Here is a 21,623-nt window from a genome sequence, read left to right on the forward strand (position 1 = left end):
ACCAGCCAGCTTCTTTACAGATGTAGATTTCTCCCCATAAGCGACGACGTTGCAGGACCATTTCAAAATATAACAAAGAAACATATTTTGGGAAAAAATATTTTGATTTCCTTCTTTATCTGTCATGTGATATTATGCTAGTCAGGTTGGAAAGTAAGCTGGGTTATATAGGCTTCAACAAAACCCATCTGATGAGATTTTTATGGCTTGTAGGACATGACTCCCCAAGTTCTGTAGATAGGAATTTGGACAAGAAAGAAAAAAGATCAGAGTTTAGTTCTCACTCACTAGGCCTCATTCTAAGATTTGGCAGCTAGGCGCAGTGGCTCATGCCTGTAATCCCAGCACTTTGGGAGGCCAAGGCAGGAGGATCACTTGAGGCCAGGAATTCCAGGCTAGGCTGGTATTCTTCTGCCTCAGCCTCCTGAGTAGCTAGGATTACAGGCGTCCACCACCACACCTGACAAATTTTTGTATTTTTAGTAGAGACAGGGTTTCACCATGTTGGCCAGGCTGGTCTGGAGCTCCTGACCTCAAGTGATCTGCCCGCCTTGGCCTCCCAAAGTGTTGGGATTACAGACGTGAGCCACTGTGCCCAGCCTAATTTTTTAAGGTTTTTTGTTATAGAGAGAAGGTCTTACCATATTGCCCACACTGGTCTGGAACTCCTGGGCTCAAGTGATTCTCCCACCTTGGCCTCCCAAAGTGCTGGGATTCTAAGTGTGAGCCACTGCCCCCGGATTGCTTCTACAGTTTACTCCCTTAACTAATACTTTTTTTTTTTTTTTTTTTGAGATGGAGTCTCACTCTGCCACCCAAACTGGAGGGCGGTGGTGTGATCTTGGCTCACTGCAACCTCTGTCTCCTGGGTTCAAGCAATTCTCCTGCCTCAGCCTCCTGAGTAGCTGGGATTACAGGCCTGTGCCACCACAGCCCGGCTAATTTTTTTTTTTTTTTTTTTTTTTTGTATTTTTAGTAAAGACGGGGTTTCACCATGTTGGCCAGGCTGGTTTCAAACTCCTGACCTCAAGTGATCCACCCGCCTTGGCCTCCCAAAGTGCTGGGATTACAGGCAACTAATACTTAATGCGGCTCTGTGCCAGGCACTGCTTTATGCTTTTCACAAATGTTAACTATTTAATCTTCAGAGCAAACTTAGCCCTATTCCTGTTTTACTGATGAAAAAAATGAGGCATAGAGAAATTAAGTAACTTGCTGAAGGTCACACAGTAAGCAGCAGAGCCAGATTACAACCCAGAGTCTGAGCCCTTACCCATCATGCTATGCTTCCTCCCAGGTGACCTGCTTTTAGTCACATGCCCATCACTAGGCTAAGGGAAAGCAAAAACCTTGACCACTATACCCACTGAGACCTTCAAAAGAAGCATGAATGAATCATGGGAGACCAAAAGACAACAAATGTTCACTATACCAGTGGGAAAAAAAATCATGAAGTCAAGATTATACAGCCCAATTTTCATTATAAGTATTTCAGCAATTAAACTTTAATTATATTAAATGATTATATGACACAGAACTAGGATCTCTTACAAAAGTTTAGATCAGAGTGTCATTGCAATTAAGACCAATGTAGCCAAAAAATAGATTAACACTCTTCAAAGTCACAGGAATAAAAACAGGAAGTTTAATGTAATACAAATTGCGTATTCAACCAAAAGGGGTATTTTATTGTTGTTAGTTATTCAACATCTTGCCCTGAGAGGACAGGGCCATTAGCATGTGAATTATTTGATCCGTTCTCCTCTTCCAAAGCTATAATATCTGGAATTTCATCAGTCTCAGATGTCAAGTCTATGGTGGTGAAATCAAACACCTGTAAAAGAAGAATCTTGGATATTGAAACAAACACCGATGAAGTGAGTTGTCAGGTCCATCTGAGCTCATGGAGACTTTAGTGCATGTAGGTGAACCTTGCTTTGTCCATAGCTGTGCTTTTTGAAAAGATGTTTGTGGTCTTATTCCTGCAATTCCCTCATACTATAAAAGCACTAAGGAAACCTTTTAAAAAGGAAACTAACTAGTGGTGGAACCTAGTCAATGAAGCTTTTTTAAAAAATACCAGATATAAAGCATTTTTTGTTATTCAACTATTAATCTATTACTTTCTTAAAAACAATAATACCCCACTTTTCCATAAGCAAGTGTCTAGGCAAATGTTTAGCAACTGAGGAAACAAAAGGTCTTTTTATGGTTGAAACAGCCATCACAAAACCCTACCTCTTCCCTGCACAGGAAAGCCTTTAGGGACAAGAAACTCTATCAAATTTTATTTTATATACAATTTCGATAAGCTAGGTAATGTTTCTTAGCAAACAACAGATTAAAACAAGAAAATTAAGGCCAGCTGCAGTGGCTCACGCCTGTAATCCCAGCCCTTTGGGAGGCCGAGATGGGAGGATCACGAGGTTGGGAGATCGAGACCATCCTGGCTAACACGGTGGAACGCTGTCTCTACTAAAAATACAAAAAGTTAGCCAGGCGTGGTGGCATGCCCCTGTAGCCCCAGTTACTCAGGAGGCTGAGGCAGGAGAATCACTTGAATCCAGGAGCAGTGAGCCGAGGTTCACCACCACTCCAGCCTGGGCGACAGAGCGAGACTCTGTCTGAAAAAAAAAAAAAAGAAAGAAAAGAAAAAAAATTAATAACATAAAACGTATTACCAAAGGCTAGAATCTTGATAGTGGAGGAAAAAATGTAGCTGATTACCTAACAGAGGAAAAAGAGCTAACAGCAACAAAAATCCCTCAAAAAGACCAGGTGCGGTGGCTCACGCCTGTAATCCCAACACTTTGGCAGGTGGATCATGAGGTCAGGAGTTCGAGACCAGCCTGGCCAACATGGTGAAACCCCATCTCTACTAATAATACAAAAATTAGCCGGGTATAGTGGCAGATGACTGTAATCCCAGCTACTCGGGAGGCTGAGGCAGGAGAATTACTTGAACCCAGGAGGCAGAGGTTGCAGTGAGCCAAGATTGCACCACTGCACTCTAGCCTGGGTAACAGAGCAAGACACTGTTTACAGGAAAAAAAAAAAAATCCCTCAAAAAATAGAAGGAAAGAGGGAAATTGGGGAGTTATTGTGGGTTTTTTTGTTTTGTTTTGTTTTAGATGGAGTTTCACTCTCTCCCCCAGGTTGGAGTGCAGTGGCGTAATCTCAGCTGTCTGCAACCTCAGCCTCCCAGGTTCAACTGATTCTCCTACCTCAGTTTCCCGAGTAACTGGGATTACAGGCGTGCGCTGCAACCATGCCTGGCTAATTTTTGTATTTTTTAGTAGAGATGGGGTTTCACCATGTTGGCCAGGCTGGTCTCGAACTCCTGACCTCAAGTGGTCCAACCTCCTTGGCTTCCCAAAATGTTGGGATTACAGGCGTGAGCCACTGCACCCAGCCTGGAGTTATTGTTTAATAGGTACAGAATTTGTGCTTAAGATGAATATAACGGTGATGGTTGTATAACATTGTGAATGTGCTTAATGCCACATAATTGTACACTTAAAAATTGAAAAAATGGAAATTTTGACATTGGATTTCGTTTTGTTTTGTTTGTTTGTTTGTTTTGAGATGGAGTCTCATTGTCACCCAGGCTGGAGTGCAGTGGTGCAAACTCGGTTCACTACAACCTCCACCTCCCAGGTTCAAGTGATTCTCCTGCCTCAGCCACCCAAGTACCTGGTATTACAGGCGTGTGCCACCACACCCGGCTAATTTTTGTATTTTTAGTAGAGATGGGATTTCACCATGTTGGCAAGGCTGGTCTTGAACTCCTGACCTCAGGTGATCCACCCACCTTGGCCTCCCAAAGTGCTGGGATTACAGGCATGAGCTACCGTGCCCAGCCAGCTCTACTATCTTTTATATGGCACTCTCAAATGGCACTTTCATAAAATCTGTACCAGCTAAAAACCTAGAAAGTATATTATGTATCAAGACTAGGCTCCCTTGTGAGATTCAAAGCCTTTCATTATATTATATTTCATATTATATCTCTAATCTGCAGGCCCAGTTTAAGCAAGAAAAACATGAGAAGAATCTCAGGCAATTCTGTCTACCTCCCACTGCAAACATTTTCCCCTCGACTGCCTTCCTATCACTTCACTTAGTCATCTTACTGACAATCTTAACAATTTTTTTTTTTTTTGAGACGGAGTCTCGCTCTGTCGCCCAAGCTGGAGTGCAGTGATGCCATCTTGGCTCACTGCAACCTTCGCCTCCCAGGTTCAAGCAATTCTTATGCCTCAGTAGCTTGAATTACAGGAGCGAGCCACAATGCCCAGCTAATTTTTGTATCTTTAGTAAAGACGAGGTTTCACCATGTTGGCCAGGCTGCCGTTGAACTCCTGGCCTCAAGTGATCTGCCGACTCGGCCTCCCAAAGTGCTAGGATTACAGGCATGAGCCACCGCACCTGGGCAATTTTTACAATTAAAGATGTACTGTGTTAATCAGCAGTTTCATCTGTCAAATTCAACGAAGTATAGGCTGCCTGCCTCTCACCACCAATTAAGAGTATAATTTTCTAATTCAGTCTTTTCCTTCTGAGCACTCTATTCCTGACTCTCAGCTTAGGATGGTTGGTTAGAAGTCCTTAACCCTCACCAGTCCTAAAAATACGACCTGGGACTAGCCCAGTGAGGGTCAAGTTGACACCATTTTTTTTTTCAGGAGTTAATAATTTCTAAAACTAAGGTTTTAGAAGTTCAGTCCTAAAGAAGTTCATTTTGGGGTGGAGGGAGTGGGGTAGCATCAGAATCTCAAAAGGTAACCAAGAAAGATACCATAAAACAAGTCTTTGGCTTAAGCTGACCTGTAGCCCTATATCTTATATAAACCAAATTTTAGCTTTTTCCTTTTCACTTCATTAGTTGTTTTTTTTCCGCAGCCTTGAACTCCTGGGCTCAAGCAATCTTCCTGTCCCAGCCACCTGAGAAACTGAGACTATAGGTGCATACCACTAGGCCCAGTTTCATTAGTTCTTTAATACCTATAACTGCCTTATCAAAGTGGATGTATTTTCCTAACCATGAGCTGGTATTATATACTCACACCTTGAACTGCCAAGTTAAAGATACTACATGTCACTGTCCCACAGATGATGTCCCCATGCCTCTAGCGCAAATTTAAAAAGCACACCCCCATCCTCAACACTCACTTCCATCTGTTGAGGCAACATTAACTTAATAGATGAGAAAACTAAGGCTCAGAGATTAATGGCCAATGCATCATATTCCTTTGCATTTTTGCATAGGACAAACTAGAAAGACTATGTTATCATTACAGGCAAAGGAAAAAACATTCTTGAACACTCCCTGAGGCACACCATGCCAGGTTTCATGCAGTCAAATGTTGACGAACCTGCCATGGTTACATACTATGTTAGCCTTAGTCAGTATTTTCCCTCAAAAGAACTGTTTTCTGGAGGAAAAAAAGTCTGTAAAACCAAAATTTTCTGCCAGTTTATGCAACAATGAAGCTGCAAGATGTGAGAACACAGGCCAGGTTCAGTAGCTCATGCCTGGAATCGCAGCACTTTGGCAGGCCGAGGTGAGTGGATCACTTGAGCTCAGGAGTTTGAGACCAGCCTGGGCAACATGGTGAAACCCCATCTTTACAAAAATACAAAAATTAGCCAGGTGTGATTGTGCATGCCTATGGTCCCAGATACTCAGGACACTGAGGAGGGAGAATCGATTGAGCCTGGGAGGCGAAGCTTGCAGTGAGCCAATCACACCACTGCACTATTGCCTGAGCAACAGAGCAAGAGCCCATCTCAAAAAAAAAAAAAAAAAAAAATGCCAGAACACCACAAATCCTGAGACATGTTGACAAATGAATGAAATGCATGTAGACACAAACTTGAAACACAAAGACAGCAAAACCATGACCAATGTGCACAGCTCACAGCAAAAAGCAAGGGCTGCTGGTGCTCTTCTAGAAGCTAAGGATGTTCTACATTTTATTCTGCCCCTGCTCAGGAAGAAGAGCTTTGAGACCTCTCTCCTTTTCATAAGCTATTCAGTAAGGACTACAATTCTTTTTTTTTTTTTAATTTGTACTAAAGTAACACACTATAACTCTTATAATAGGGAAACACAAAGGTGTATGTTCAGGATAAGAAAGCATGTGTGGCCAGGCGTGGTGGCTCACGCCTGTAATCCCAGCATTTTGGGAGGCCGAAGCGGGCAGATCACTTGAGGTCAGGAGTTCGAGACCAGCCTGGCCAATGTGGTGAAACCCCATCTCTACTAAAAAGACAAAAACTAGCCAGGCATGGTGGTGCACGCCTATACTTGGGAGGCTGAGGGCAGGAGAATAGCTTGAACCTGGGAGGCGGAGGTTGCAGTGAGCTGAGACCACACCATCACACTCCAGCCTGGACAACAGAGCAAGACTCTGCCTCAAAAAAAAAAAATTAAGAGGCAGAGGCCTAGAAAATGCCAGTCACTGGGAACAGGAAGGCAAGTGAGTGACTAGGCTCTGTCCTGGAAACCCATAAATCACAAAAGTCCATCCTTCCCAGAAACCAGAAGCTCCTTATCTGCAAAACAAATCCTAGGGATTTCCCACCTACTCTCCAACTCAACTCACCTGTTTACTGATTTCTGGAGTTACAATGAGAAGAAAAAATTTGTAACTTGATAAAAACTTTTTTTTTTTTTTTTTTGAGACAGGGTCTGTCACCCAGGCAGGAGTGCAGTGTCACAATCTCGGCTCACTGCAACCTTCACCTGCCTTGGTTCAGGGGATTCTTGTGCCTCAGCCCCCAAGTAGCTGGGGTTACAGGTGCATACAGCCATGCCCAGCTAATTTTTGTGGGGTTTTTTGTTGTTGTTATTTTTGGTTTTTTTTTTTTTTTGAGATGGAGTCTCGCCCTGTCGCTGGACAGGCTGGAGTGCAATGGCGCAATCTCAGCTCACTGCAACCTCCACCTCCCGGGTTCAAACGATTCTCCTGCCTCAGCCTCCCGAGGAGCTGGGATTACAGGTGCACGCCCCCATGCCCAGCTAATTTTTGTATTTTTAGTAGAGACAAGGTTTACCATGTTGGCCAGGCTGGCCACTGTTGGCCTCTCCTGACCTCTTGATCTGCCAGCCTCAGCCTCCCAATGTGCTGGGATTACAGGCCGTGAGCTACCAAGCCCGGCCTAATTTTTATGTTTTTAGTAGAGACTGGGTTTTGCCCTGTTGGCCAGGCTGGTCTCAAACTCCTGACCTCAAGTGATCTCTCCACCTCGGCCTCCCAAAGTGCTGGGATTACCAGCATGAGTCACCGTGCCTGGTCGATAAAAAACTTTAATAAACTCACTCACACCAAAGGAACATGTAAAGTTATGTGCCGCTTCCTTGTTTTCATGGAGAGAAAGGGGTGAACCAGGATAGAAAGAGACTAATTTGAGTTAGACTTCCCAGTTCTGCTGAGGGCAGCCCTGCTTACCTTTTAGCAGGGACAGCCAGAAGCATGTAGCTCTATTTCACATTTTTTTTTTTTTAAGACAGAGTCTCACTCTGTTGCTCAGGTTGGAGTGCAGTGGCGCAATCTTGGCTCACTGCAGCCTCCACCTCCCAGACGCAGGGGATTCTCCTTGCCCAGCCTCCAAGTAGCTGGGATTATAGGCGTGCACCACCAGGCCAGGCTAATTTTTGTATTTTTTGTAGAGAAAGGGTTTCACGTTGTTGGTCAGGGTGGTGTCGAATCCCTGACCTCAGGTGATCTGCCTGCCTCGGCCTCCCAAAGTGCTGGGATTACAGGTATGAGCCACAGCGCCTGGCCTATTTCACAAGTTCTGAGACTCACTTTTAAAAACTAGTTTGACATATTTCATCTGTGTGACAAGGAGATTCAGGATGGTTCCTAAATAACCAATGTTGAATGGACTAGAAGTCTGGATACCATAGGCAGGAGGTAAGAAGAACCTTTTTCTACAGGGGGCTTAAAGTCTTTTTACTTCTAATTAGTCTCACATGGTCTTCTATACGTATGTCCCCAACAACAACTGAGGTTAGTGACTTTTTCCCAAAATGACAACACAGTAAGTTAAGTCCAGCTAAGGCTGGACAGTGAAGAATCTCCCTTTAGGACTCACGCTTTAACTGGTTCCCTGGCAAGAAATGCCCAATGCCTTTACATGATGCTGATTTAAACAATCACTCACTTCCTTTCAGCTCTGATTCCTTTTCAGTGAGGTAGTCAGACATGACTAGGCCCTTTTACTGGTTTAAAAACCCACTCACAGGGGTCCAGTAAGTTGGCAAACAAAGAGGGCCAACTGTCACCTAGTAAAATTTGAATATGCACATTAGCTTTTAATTTGTTTTAAATCTGTTATCAAGCATCCTATTTTTTTTTAATTTGTTATCAAGCATCCTATTTTCTTTTCTTTTTTTTTTTTTTTGAGATGGAGTCTTGCTCTTTCGCCCAGGCCAGAGCGCAGTGGCGCTATCTCGGCTCACTGCAAGCTCTGCCTCCCGGGTTCACGCCATTCTCCTGCCTCAGCCTCCCGAGTAGCTGGGACTACAGGCACCCGCCACCGTGCCCGGCTAATTTTTTGTATTTTTAGTAGAGATGGGGTTTCACCGTGTTCGCCAGGATGGTCTCGATCTCCTGACCTCGTGATCCGCCCACCTCAGCCTCCCAAAGTGCTGGGGTTACAGGCATGAGCCACAGCACCCGGCCAAGCATCCCATTTTTAACATTAGCCTTCTAATGTTCTCACTCTGCCAAACTCCCCAACAGGCCAATTGAAATTCATGTATGTATAATAACTCTGTCATGCAGGTTAAGCAGCTCTACGAAAGCAACACACAAAGCATATGGAACAAACAGCATGTAACTGGTCTATCCTGCAGTGAATTTTATTGAATTCAAAGGTAGTATTCCTATTTGAGAAATGAAAAACTAAAATCAAGTTTTACAAGCAAGCATCATGAGATAAAGCAGTGAAGACGCCTTTTCAGATCACACCAGAGCAGACACCAGTTTCTACCCCAGCCCACATGAAGATGTTTTTATTCAATACAAACAGTAACAGAGGCAACACAATGGCCATAGAATGAGAACATAAGTGCATTTGAATTTTTTCTGAGTTCTGGCTATAGGCTCTGACAAGCCTATCATTCTTTTCTTACCAGGTGAACAGAAATCATCTGCTAATGCCAGAAACTTTAAAGCTCTTAATTCAGCTGGAAACAACTACAATTGAGGGCCTTTATACTAGCTACTTGCTTCCCAATTTAGGGTTGCCTAGCAAGTTAATTTCAACATAACAAAAGGTGTCATCTGTCTGGCCACAGCATGCACTAGTGATAGGGGCAGGTTTAATGAGTTTTATGCTCAGATCGCTGGGTCTCCTGGCTGCTCTTGTCCATCTCTGCACCTTGGTCCTGAGCATTCTGAGACTCAGTCAGCTGAGGATAAAAGGGACCTACCAGCCAGTTGAGGGGCGTGTTGTTAACAAGATAATCCATCACGTCATCTAAAGATTCCTTCATTTTCTGCAGCTGCCCCTTGCTAGAAGTGAGGAGGCTGTCAGACACTTCTTTAAAGGAGGCAGCATTGCGGAACACTGAGTAGATGTCGCCTGCCATCACCCCCATGTGCTTGGCTTGATCTTGGATGTTCTGTGGTACACCTTGGATGTTGGACAGGAGGGTGTGGCACGTGGTCTGGAGCTGCTGAGTCAGGTTGCGGGCAATTGCAAGAGTACGTGACTCAATGTGCTAAAAATAAAACTTAAAATTAGCAGTGGATCCAACAGTGCTATGTATAAATTAGTTCGATGACAGTAGGCTGGTTATGTGTCCACCACATATGTGGATTCTTTGGCTTTTAAAAATCCTCATTACAATGCCGAGTGCAGCAGTATTATTCACATTTCATAGATATGAATATAAGCTTAGAGTTTAAGTAGATGGCTTCAGTTAACAACTGGAAAACAGCTGGGTAGGGATTCGAACTAGTGCCTGAGTCTCCAAAGTTCATCATCTTAAACTGAAGAAACATATTAGGTAGGGGAGACCCAAAAGAATGGAAATATCCTTCATGTTAGTAGTGTAATGTATATATTCCCTCCTCAAATAAAATGACAAGACATGAACAAACAGTTCATATTGACTTCAGAGCTTTTGGGACACAAAGAACCACTTTCTAGGACTATAAGAGGATATTTCTTTTCCCTTCCTTCCTCCCTGCTTCCCTTCCTTTTTCTTTCTTTCTTCTTTCTTTCTTTTCTTTTCTTTCTTTCTTTCTGAGACAGGGTCTCAGTCTGTTGCCCAGGCTGGAGGGCACTGGCACAATCATGGCTCACTGCGGACCCGACCTCTCGGGCTTAGGTGATCCTCCCACCTCAGCCTCTCGAGCAACTAGGACTACAGGTGCACACCACCACACCCTGCTAATTTTTGTATTTTTTGTAGAGATGGGGTTTCACAGTTGCCCAGGCTGGTCCTGAATTCCTGGGCTCAAGTGATCTGCCTGCCTTGGCCTCCCAAAATGCTGAGATTACAGGTGTGAGCCATTGCACCCAGCCAAGATGCTATGCCTTCCCTCTGGAACCTTGGTCACCTTATTGCCCTTTCACCTAGTTTATTCACCCATTAGTTCTCAGCTTACCATTCATCTCTTCCAGAAAGCAATGTGACTCAACTACCCCCACTCCAAGGCTGCCTGAGATAGTCTTCCCATATGTTTTCTTTTTTTTTTTTTTGAGACAGAGTCTTACTCTGTTGCCCAGGCTGGAGTGCAGTAGCATGATCTCGGCTCATGGCAACCTCTGCCTCCCAGGTTCAAGCTATTCTCCTGCCTCAGCTGCCCGAGTAGCTGGGACTACAGGCACGTGCCACCATGCCTGGCTCATTTTTTGTATTTTTAGTAGAGACAGGGTTTCACCATGTTGGCCAGGATGGTCTCGATCTCCTGACCTCGTGATCTACCCGCCTCGGCCTCCCAAAGTGTTGGGATTACAGGCGTGAGCCATCGCGCCCAGCCAATAGTACCTGTATTTATGCCGTTAAACAACAACCGGACTTGGCTACTCTGAGTGTACTGCCTATGAGATAGCCCTCTTCTGCAAGGAGCATTAAAAAGGCACAAAATAGGACAGCATGGCTGGCTGTATCCCCTGTTAGTCTGTACCCATTATGAGGGCAAGGCCTGTGTTTCTCATTTAGTTGTATCTCACTTGGGGCATATGTATACTCATAGGTTGTTAGATAAAATTATTCGCTGCCTAGTTTTGCTTTTCTGCCACATAACTAGCCACCTATGTACATGGTATTGTTCAACCTTTTGATAGAGAAGAGTATTCTAAGACATAGTATGGAAAAATTGAAATGAAAAGTCTGATAAGAACTTCTTCAGCAACCAACAAATGACCGTCCCAGTCATCTTACCTCAGCACAGTGGGACTCATCAGTATCATCATATCCAATGCTCCTTTTCCACTCTACCCATGAGAGGTAGAGCTTATCCTGAGCATCCTGAATTTTCTGATTGGCACTATACACATTCTTCCTGGCAAATTCAATCTAGACACATTGAAACAAGACAAAGGAACACACAAGTCAGATATTCACGTTAGCCTGTTTGCAGATGTATGATGTAAATCAGGCAACATAAAAACTAAGAATTTCCTGGAGTTGAATAAGATCTATTCCTGCTATCATTATTATTTATTATCAATATGTGTAAATTAACCAAGCAGTAGTAGCTCTTTACTGCCTCTATTTAACTATTAAATCACTGACTCCACATTTACTTCCAGTTTAGCACAGGTAAAGCAACTAAAAAACTACAAAAAATTTTTTTTGAGTGTCACTCTGTCACCCAGGCTGAAGTACAGTGGCGCGATCACAGCTCACTGAACCTCCTTCTCGTGCCTTAGCCTACCGAGTAGCTGGGATTACAGGCATACGCCACCATGCCCAGCTAATTTTTGTATTTTTAGTAGAGACAGGATTTCACCTTGTTGGCCAGACTGGTCTCGAACTCCTGACCTCAGGTGATCCAACCACCTTGCCCTCCTAAAGTGCTGGGATTATAGGCATGAGCCACCACGCCCAGCCAGCAACTAAAATTTAATGTGTACATGAGTAAAGGATAAGTTAGCATTACAAAACAGAAAGGAATTTGACCTTCCTCTTCCCTGTTGCCAACCACTATTTCCCCTTCTAAGAAGAAATGGTTTTCTCATGGCAGTACAGAATGGTACATACTGTTCTTTAACTTGGAAACCTTTAATGGCTACACAGTAGTCTATTGTGATATATCAATTTAATTAGTCCTGTTAGTGGATGTGCATTGTTATAGTCTCTTGCAACTTTAAACAAATATACACATCTGTAAGATAAAAAGTAAAACAGCTCCAAGTGTAGGTATGCTTGTAACTTTACTAAAACTGTCTCTTGAATCAGTCCCTTAGAGCAAGAGCTGCACAAGTGTGGTTCTTTCTCTACACCGTTGCCAACAGCCACATTTCCCGTGTGGCAGGACAAGAGAGATGTCAGTATTTGACCCCTCAGAGCGAGATTAGCATTGCTTCCTATATTTCAACTAGTTATACTTCCTTTTTCTGTGAGCTGTCTCCATATTCTTTGTCCAGTTTTCTATTGGGTTGTTTGTCAACTAAGAATGAAATTCTTGGATTTTGTGATTACATTTAATTCTTGGGCCTAGAGATAAATGAACCCACTTCAGACACCTTAAAATAAAGTTTTACTCACCAGGTGAACAGTAGAATGGAGCTGAGAAATGGTCTGTTGGCTTTTTTGCTTAGCTTCTTTAACCCTGCTGAGAGCCTGCTGGTAGGCACGGGAGTGAAGCTTGGTAGACAGGGATCCCAGTCTAACATAATAACTTGGCTTCTGAACCAGATCAAATCCTTCAACTTTTTTTGCTTCTTTTTCTGAAGTTAGAAATAAGAGACAAAAAAACTTAAGGGATCACAGTGACAAGTGATAAGGCCTGGACTCTAACCTGGGTCTTGACTTTCTTACTTCTACCCAATCACTTAGCAATCATGCAGTCATTTTTCCAAGACTGCTCACGTCTGCTGCTGGACTTGACTACCCTGAACATATTACTGTATCTGATACACACTGCATGCATCTACACGTTTCTCCCACTAGAGTAAACTGCTTTTTTTTTTTTGGAAACAGGTCTTGCTTTGTTGCCCAGGCTGGAGTACAGTGGCACAATTTTGGCTCACTGCAGCCTCAACCTCCCGAGCTCAACTGATCCTCTCACCTCAGCCTCCCGAGTAGCTAGGACTCTAGGAACAAGCCACCATGCCCAGCTAATTTTTGTGTTTTTTAGGGTTTCGCCATGTTGCCCAGGCTAATCTCAAACTCCTGAACTCAAGCGATCTGCCTGTCTTAGCCTCCCAAAGTGCTGGGATTGTAGGCATGCATGCACCATTGCTCCCAGCCTAGAGTGAACTTGAGCGGCATGGTACCTGGCACACATTACCTAATGATGATTCTTTGTAAGGAGGATTTTATAAAGCAATCCATTAAAGACTATCCATTTACAGAAAATATTTTTCAAGGCCAATTTTTGCTAAGGTTTCAAAACTTACTACGTACGATTCAATGTGAACTTTATGATTGCTTTAGGAAGGAAAATCTATAGAGGCAAAAAGATTAGTGGTTGCTCACATCTGTAATCCCAGAACTTTGGGAGGTCAAGGCAGGTGGATCGTTTGAGCCCAGGAGTTCGAGATCAGCCTGGGCAACATAGTGAGATCCCATCTCTATAAAATTAAATTAAATTAAAAAGGACTGACTGCAAACAGGCATGAGGATCTTTTGGGGTAGCAGAAGTGTTCTGAAACTGGATTGCAGTGATGCTTGCACAACTGTGTAAATTTAGACTCAAGATGAGAGTATATGTCAATGAAGCTGTTTAAGAAAGATTTAATATAAAACAGTATTTCAAGATAAAATTCCAGTTACCTAGTTCTTCCTCAGTGAGAGGGAGGTACTGTTCTACCAACAGCTCTGATTTGGTGAGTGCATTTTCTACGCCACTGCTCACGAGCTGCATCATCCGACTCCCCAAGACTGTGTTAATGCTGCCACTGACCACAGACTTGGTCTTCTCCACACTGCCAGTCACTGCCCCTTTGGTCTTGTCCATCACCCCTGTGATCGTGCTGGCCACAGAATCCTTGGCCCCAGTCACAGTAGTCGTCACAGCATCTTTTGCCCCAGTCACAGCGCCTTTGGCATTGGCAACAATCTGTAAGTAGAAAAGCAGATCCCCTGGCTGGTGAGAAAAATGAGCACAAGGACATACCTAAGGTCTTAACTAAGGCAGCACAGCTGAAGAGTTAAAGAAGGAATCTAGTCCTCTCACTCTAGCTTTAGGTCTTGGGCAAGTCACTAAGAGTTGATGAGCCTGAATTTCCCTATCAAGTATATCTGCCCTACCTGCCAATCCTTGGGAATTGCAGGAGGAGCAAATGAAGTAAACAGATATGAAATTTGTCTGTTTGCCAAGGCTGCAGTGAGCTGTGATTGTGCCACTGCACTCAGCCTGGGTGACAGAGCAAGACCCTGTCTCAAAAAAAAAAAAAAAAAAAGAGAAGAGAAAAGAAAAAAAAAGAAAAGAAAAGAAGGTAAGTTATATAGCTTATTCCAAAGTCACACAAATCCAGAGAGGAAACTGAAGATCAAACTATACCTGGCCCTCGGGGTGTTATTAGTATGCAGTTATTATACATGGCAGGGCATGGTGGCTCATGCCTGTAATGCCAGCACTTTGCAAAGCTGAGTTGGTTGGATCACCTGAGGTTAGGAGTTCGAGACCAGCCTCACCAACATGGTGAAACCCCGTCTCTACTAAATACAAAAAATTAGTTGGGCGTGGTGGCACATGCCTGTAACCCCAGCTACTTGGGAGACTGAGGCAGAAGAATCACTTGAACCCCAGAGGTGGAGGTTGCAGTGAGCCAAAATTGCACCATTACACTACAGCCTGGGCAACAAGAGCAAAACTCTGTCTCAAAAACAAACAAACAATGACAAAAAAAATTAGCTGGGTGTGGCGGGGCGTGCCTGTGAACCCAGCTACTGGGGAGGCTGAAGCAGGACAATTGCTTGAACCCAGGAGGAAGAGACAGCAGTGAGCCGAGATTGTGCCACTGCACTCCAGCCTGGGTGACAGAGCAAGACTCTGTCTCAAAAAAAAAAAAAAAAAAAAAAAAAAGAACACAAGTTACCAACATTTAAAGAAAATATCCGAAATGGAAAATAACTCTCACCATTAGCACAGTCTCAAGCAATGTAAGTGAAAAATTTAAAAGATTTGCACAAGCATTCTAAAGGCTATACACTAAACCTACCTATAGTTGTGTACCACATAATATTTTGGTCAGCGATGGACCACTATTCAATGATAGTCCCATAAGATTATAATGAACTGCCCTATAACAGGTATACTTTTTTTTTTCACTGTACCTTTTCTAGTTTAGATACACGAATACTTATCATTGTGTTACAGTAGTCAGTGTAGTCATGCTGTGCAGGTTTGTAGCCTAGAAGCAAGCAACAGGCTATATACCATATAGCCTAGGTATATAGCAGGCTATACACCATATAGCCTAGGTATATAGCAGGCTATACACCATATAGCCTAGGTATATAGCAGGCTATACACCATATAGCCTAGGTATATAGCAGGCTATACACCATATAGCCTAGGTATATAGCAGGCTACACCACAAGTCCCTAACCCCCGGGCCATGGACCATTACCAGTCCATTACCAGTCCATTACCAGTCAGAGGCGGCATTAGATTCTCATAGGAGACCTAACCCTAACCCTCTTGTGAACTGTGCACGTGCATGCTCCTTATGAGAATCTAATGATAAATATAGTGCACTTGAATCATCCCAAAAACACCACCCACCCCCTGCTGGTCCATGGAAAAACTGTCTTCCATGGAACCAGTTCCTGGTGCCATAAAGCTTGGGGACCACTGGGCTCTACCATCTAGGTTGGTGTGAGTATACTCTGTGATGTTCACACAATGGCAAAATCACCTAATGTGCATTTCTCAAAATATATTCCCATCACTAAGTGACAGATGACTGTATTTAGATTATGAAAAGACACAGAGCTATATTTTTCCCTAACTGGTATCCTTTTGTGCCATTCTGTATTCTTAATTTGAAACAAAATTTTAGGACATTATCTGAACCAAAGGATCACCAGGACAGACAAGCCTATCATTTTTGTCAACACTGGCTAGCTATCCCATATGGATGGTAGTTCCTGGCAGCATTGTACAAGCCAGGTGAGAAAAGGTTATATATATCACGTCTGCATTTATTTAATACCACAAGACAATCAGTTACTTGAGACAGCAATTTCATTTATAGGAGCAAAGACACAAACTGATAGACAACACACTAAAAGTTTTCTAATCCAAAGGAGGCTAGTTCTTCTCTGCTTCGTAGATACAACTTGACAACAGTTCAGGAAGTAAGGAAGTGGCCATTATTTTTCAAACATACATCCAGATCCAGGTTGGGAAAACAAGTATTTGCCTGTTTGTGATATGTACAGCTTGTTTTAACAGATAGAAGATGAAAACATGTGAAGTGTCAAGTCTCAGCACTTTTGTCCCAAGCTCACCTGAGTTGATGGCTGATTCAGAATAGGCAGTCTCTCCTCAATCCTGTCTAGCCCCTTACAGGCATAGGTATTGGCAACTGCAACTAGAATCACAAATGGGAAAATGTTAATGTAGTACTATAGGTATAGAATGAACACACATTACCATAGGCCTTATAAAAAATGGCAATAATGGGCTGGGCACGGTGGCTCACGCCTGTAATCCCAGCACTTTGGGAGGCTGAGGCAGGCGGATCACGAGGTCAAGAGATCGAGACCATCCTGGCCAACATGGTGAAACCCCGTCTCTACTAAAAATACAAAAATTAGCTGGGCGTGATGGTGTGCGCCTGTAGTCCCAGCTACTCAGGAGGCTGAGGCAGGAGAATCGCTTGAACTCAGGAAGCAGGGGTTCCAGTGAGCCAAGATGCATCATTGCACTCCAGCCTGGGTGACAGAGCAAGACTCCATCTCAAAAAAAAAAAAAAAGGCAAGAATGTTGATCTTATACAACAGAAGGCATTGCCTGGTTTATCTAGTTCTGACAGGAAGAGGCCTGGCAAGTTGCTGGCAACTCTCTTCTAAAGGTAAGGAAATATGGGGGTGTGAGGGAGGAGCAGGCAGAGGCAGTGACAGGCCAAACAGGAAGCTGGCTCTGAAGCTTCTTCCTTATCAACTGGCCCCTAATGTTAATGCCAAGAGTAGCCGGGCTTTCCCTGAACTGTCATTCAGAGAATAAGGTATCTGGAAACTCTCTCAAAATCGGCATTCCCATGCTAGTTTAATCCCTACCTACGCTTACTTCAGCACAGGTCAGTGTATTTGGGGTCCTCAGGAGGAAAGAGTATGCCAAGACCACCCTGGATCTCCCTAACAAGGGAGATTTTAGTGTGAGCTTCCCACTAAGAATACCAAACCAAGTACTAGTACCAAATTCATTTAGGAAGTAGCAGAGTTGGAATGGCTGGTCTCTAAAGGCTCCTTATAATCCTAAAAGTCCCTGGCTTAACCATTTGAAAGAATGATTTAAATCTTTATTCAAAAGCAGTTCATGTTGTGGAGAAATTGGAGCCTCCATACAGTGTTGGTGGGAATGTAAAATGGTACAGCTGATTTGGAAAACAGTCTGGCAGCTCCTCAAAAGCTTAAACAGTTATTATATAACCCAGCAATTCCACTCCTGGGTATATACCAAAAAAACCTGAAAACATGTCCACACAAAAACTTGTATACAAATGTTCACAGAAGCATTATACATAATCTCCAAAAGTAGAACGAACCCAAACATCCATCAGTTGAAGAATGAATAAATATTGTCTGTCTAGACAGTAAATTACTATTCAACAATAAAAAGAGATGAAGTACTGATATGATGTGACAAGACAGATTAACTTTGAAAACATTATGCTTAACGAAAGAAGCCAATCACAAAAAAACCCACACATTTTATGATTTCATTTATAAGAAATATCCAGCATAGGCAAATCTATAAAGACAAAGTAGATGAGTAGCTGCCTCAGGGTGGTTGTTAGGAAATGGGGAGTGACTACTAAGTATGAGAGTATGAGATTTCTCATGGAGTATGACATTTCTATTCTTTATTTCGGTAAAATATACATAACAAATTTCACCATTTCAACCATTTTTAACTGTGCAATTCAGTGGCATTAAGTCCATTTACAACATTATACAACCATCACCACTATCCATTTCTAAAACTCATTCATGGCCAGGCATGGTGGCTCACACCTGTAGTCCTAGCACTTTGGGAGGCCGAGGCGGGCGGATCACCTGGGGTCAGGAGTTCCTGACCAGCCTGGCCAACATGGCAAAACCCTGTCTCTACTAAAAATACAAAATTAGCTGGGCATGGTGGTGTATGCCTGTAATCCCAACTACTCAGGGAGCTGAGGCAGGACAATCACCTGAGCCCGAGAGGCAGAGACTGCAGTGAGCAGTCTCAAATTCCAGGCCTCAAGCGATCCTCCCATCTAGACCTCCCAAAGTGCTAGGATTACAGGTGCAGGCCACCGTGCCCATCCTCTGGGGGATTTTTAATTAAAGGATCATAAACATCTGCCAAAGCTATGAAACAGGCCTTCTGTGGACAGGCGCGGTGGCTCACGCCTGTAATCCCAGCACTTTGGGAGGCAGAGGTGGGTGGATCACAAAGTCAGGAGTTAAGCCTGGCCAATATTGTGAAACCGCGTCTCTACTAAAAATACAAAAATTAGCTGGGCATGGTGGTGGGAGCCTGTAGTCCCAGCTACTCGGGAGGCTGAGGCAGGAGAATCACTTGAACCCAGCAGGCAGAGGTTGCAGTGAGCCAAGACTGCGCCACTGAACTCCAGCCTGAGTGATAGAGTGAGACTCCATCTCAAAAAAAAAAAAAAAGGAAAGAAAAGAAAAGAAACAGTCCTCTTACGGTAATGAGGGTCACCTGAAAGTTTCTAGGTAAAGGCAGTGTATGCCCCAGGAAGGGCTGAGGAGTTCCAGATGTTACTGCTGTGAGCTCAGGGGCTCGCCACTGACCAGTCCCTTGACTTGCATCTTGAAAAATCAGAACTCACTTTGCGGCTCTAGCTTCTGGATGATGGGCAGAGCACTGGTCATGGCCACGGAGGTGATGGTCTTCACACCGTTCTCTGCCATCTCACACACAGACTTCAGGTAGGGATACTGGTCCTTTGTACTGAGATAGGCTGAGGACATGAGGTCATACGTGGAGCTCACCAAGGGCAGGTTGACCACCCGAGTCACCACACTCTGCAATCAAAGTAGGGAGGGTATGCTTATTAATCTCTCAAAACACAAAAGGAGAGAAAGTAGACAAAGGCTACTCAAAATTCATACCGGTTGTGGATCAACTGCAACGGATGCCATTTTTCTTCCTGGAGAAAGAAATCTGCAGAAAAGAGACTTATTTCAGAACACCGGGATAAGACTCTCCCAAATTCATTCCCCAACCCAAGCAAATGCTGATTACAAGTAGAGAAAAATGCAGGGTGAGCTCCCTGTAGTCTTCTGCACTTCTTTCCTCTCTCCAGCTCTCCAGGTCCCCCTCCTGAAAGACCCACACCCACACAACCCCACTCCCTCTTTTGAGGCAAAGTTTCAGAGCTTATGTGTAAACTTGCAATACTCAGGAGGGAGAAGTAAAGTTGTTGACATACTTCTCTTGTTTCTCCGAGTATCTGTTAACAAAAATGCTAGCCAAGCCGGACGCGGTGGCTCACGCCTGTAATCCCAGCACTTTGGGAGGCCGAGGGGGGTGGACTGCTTGATGTCAGGAGTTCAAGACCAGCCTGACCAACGTGGTGAAACCCCGTCTCTTCTAAAAATACAAAAATTAGCCGGGCGTGGTGGCGGGCGCCTGTTATCCCAGCTGCTCTGGAGGCTGAGGCAGGAGAATCGCTTGAACCCGGGAGGCGGAGGTTGCAGTGAGCCTAGATGGCGTCACTGCACTCCAGCCTGGGCGACAGAGCGAGACTCCGTCAAAAAAAAAATGCGGTTTTCTAACGCGTTTCCCTTTCGATAATGTCCCTTCGACAAATATTGTTTTCCCACAACCACCCAAGCAGGCCAAGGGACATTCGATAGCAATCGCCCTAAATCTGTTGGCAGGAAAGAAGCCTCAACGCACAAAGGCAAGGGTCGAAAGCGCGGGTTCAGCAGACCGCCCCTACCCAGCCAGGACCTGGAAGCCGCGAGGCGAGCGGGGGGTCTCGGACCATCACCCCCGCGTCCCGTCCACCTTTGAGCCCCGCGGGGAGCAGAGCAGCGGTCCCAAGGCCCCGGGGAGCCCCCCACCCCAACTGGGCGCCGCTGGGGGCCCGGGACCGGTTCGCTGGGGCACCCACTGGGCGCGCACTCACCGACGGACTGCAGCGAAAGGCGAAGAGCAGGCGCGTCCCGAAGACGACTCCGGCTGCCACGACCCGGTCAAAGCGTGGGGCCCGCGGGCGCCCGGGCTATAAACCCCGCCTCGCCGCCCCTCCCCAAGCCTCCGCAGCACGTGACCCGCGGCAGCACGCCCTGTCCCAAGCCCGAGTGTCACCCTCGGGCACGTCCCGGCGCCCTCCCCCAACGCCGGCCCTCCTAGAGTGGTGGGGGCCCGGTCGGGTTGAGAGGGTGTGCTGCCTGGGCGAGGGGCCCCGCCACGGGGAGAGGAGCCTGTCGGGAGCCGGGCGGGGGCCCGGCCTGGGGAGGCTGGGAGTTGGAGGTAGCCCTGCCTGGAGTCGGGGCGCTGCCTGGAGTCGGGGCGCTGCCTGTGGTCGGGGTCCTGCCTGTGGTCGGGGTCCTGAGAGGCCCGGGGCAAATGGGGATGGCGCCCAGGCCGGCTTTGGGGTTTTGAAAAATGCAAACAAATTCACACCAACTTGTTGAACGGCGTTAGTCCTCAGAATAGAACTCTAAAAATGGAAGCGGTGGCTCACGCCTGTAATCACAACACTTTGGGATGCTGAGGCGAGAGGATCTGTCGAGCCTAGGAGTTCGAGACCAGCCTGGCGAAGATTTTTATTTTATTTTAAAAAATAGCCCAGCGTGGTGTCGTGCGCCTGTGGCCCCAGCTACCTGCGAGGCTAAGATGGGAGGATCGCTTGAGCCTGGGAGGTCGAGGCTGCAGTGAGCCGAGATCGCGTGGCGCTGCACAATGGCTTCTACGCTGTTATTTTTAGCGAAGTAATAACTTTTAAAAGTTTTGTGGCGGCTGGGCGCGGTGGCTCACGCCTGTAATCCTAGCACTTTGGGAGGCCGAGGCGAGCGAATCACCAGCCTGGCCAACATGGCGAAACCCCGTCTCTCTCAAAATACAAAGAAAGCAGCCCAGCGTGGTGGCGCGCGCCTGTAGTCCCAGCTAGTCCCGGCTGTTTAGCGGGGTTGGGGGCAGGCGGGTGGGTGGCTGAGGTGAAAGAATCTTTTGAGCCCAGGTGGTCGAGGCTGCAATGAGTCGAGATCGCGCCACTGTACCACTGCACCCCAGCCTGAGTGA

At 45.2% G+C, this 21,623-nt stretch overlaps 1 protein-coding gene across 3 annotated transcripts, besides 5 other annotated features; it reads right to left on the reverse strand.

The window, feature by feature from the left end:
- Positions 1 to 1,474: 1,474 nt before the first annotated feature.
- PLIN2 (perilipin 2) lies at positions 1,475 to 20,579 on the reverse strand. 3 transcript variants are annotated; one of them, XM_017014259.3, is made up of 9 exons: positions 20,506 to 20,579; positions 19,484 to 19,535; positions 19,201 to 19,396; positions 16,652 to 16,734; positions 13,967 to 14,252; positions 12,737 to 12,918; positions 11,408 to 11,542; positions 9,446 to 9,736; positions 1,475 to 1,834 (listed from the first exon to the last, which is right to left on the reverse strand). In XM_017014259.3, the coding sequence occupies exons 2-9, from the start codon at positions 19,511 to 19,513 to the stop codon at positions 1,700 to 1,702; spliced, it is 1,338 nt and encodes a 445-aa protein (XP_016869748.1). In that variant the 5' UTR covers positions 19,514 to 19,535; positions 20,506 to 20,579; the 3' UTR covers positions 1,475 to 1,699. The 3 variants fall into 3 exon arrangements, 2 of the variants coding, with proteins under 2 accessions (XP_016869748.1, NP_001113.2); NM_001122.4 differs by lacking the exon at positions 1,475 to 1,834 and having other exon boundaries at positions 8,848 to 9,736; NR_038064.2 differs by lacking the exon at positions 1,475 to 1,834 and having other exon boundaries at positions 8,848 to 9,736; positions 19,201 to 19,535.
- Positions 17,078 to 17,372: an enhancer, noted in NCBI's record as "tiled region #12241; K562 Activating DNase matched - State 5:Enh". NCBI's record gives its function as "activates a minimal TATA promoter and a strong SV40 promoter by Sharpr-MPRA in K562 cells {active_cell/tissue: K562}" and the evidence as "EXISTENCE:reporter gene assay evidence [ECO:0000049][PMID:27701403]".
- Positions 19,825 to 20,335: an enhancer, noted in NCBI's record as "H3K27ac hESC enhancer chr9:19126736-19127246 (GRCh37/hg19 assembly coordinates)". NCBI's record gives its function as "activates a minimal SCP1, AML or CMV promoter by ChIP-STARR-seq in primed H9 embryonic stem cells {active_cell/tissue: H9 hESC(primed)}" and the evidence as "EXISTENCE:reporter gene assay evidence [ECO:0000049][PMID:30033119]".
- Positions 20,336 to 20,845: an enhancer, noted in NCBI's record as "H3K27ac hESC enhancer chr9:19127247-19127756 (GRCh37/hg19 assembly coordinates)". NCBI's record gives its function as "activates a minimal SCP1, AML or CMV promoter by ChIP-STARR-seq in primed H9 embryonic stem cells {active_cell/tissue: H9 hESC(primed)}" and the evidence as "EXISTENCE:reporter gene assay evidence [ECO:0000049][PMID:30033119]".
- Positions 20,336 to 20,917: a biological region, named in NCBI's record as "H3K27ac hESC enhancer GRCh37_chr9:19127247-19127756".
- Positions 20,358 to 20,917: a silencer, noted in NCBI's record as "silent region_19790". NCBI's record gives its function as "represses an Ori minimal core promoter by ATAC-STARR-seq in GM12878 lymphoblastoid cells {active_cell/tissue: GM12878}" and the evidence as "EXISTENCE:reporter gene assay evidence [ECO:0000049][PMID:35858748]".

This window comes from Homo sapiens, chromosome 9 (assembly GCF_000001405.40).
Source record: "Homo sapiens chromosome 9, GRCh38.p14 Primary Assembly".
Lineage (NCBI taxonomy): Eukaryota > Metazoa > Chordata > Mammalia > Primates > Hominidae > Homo > Homo sapiens.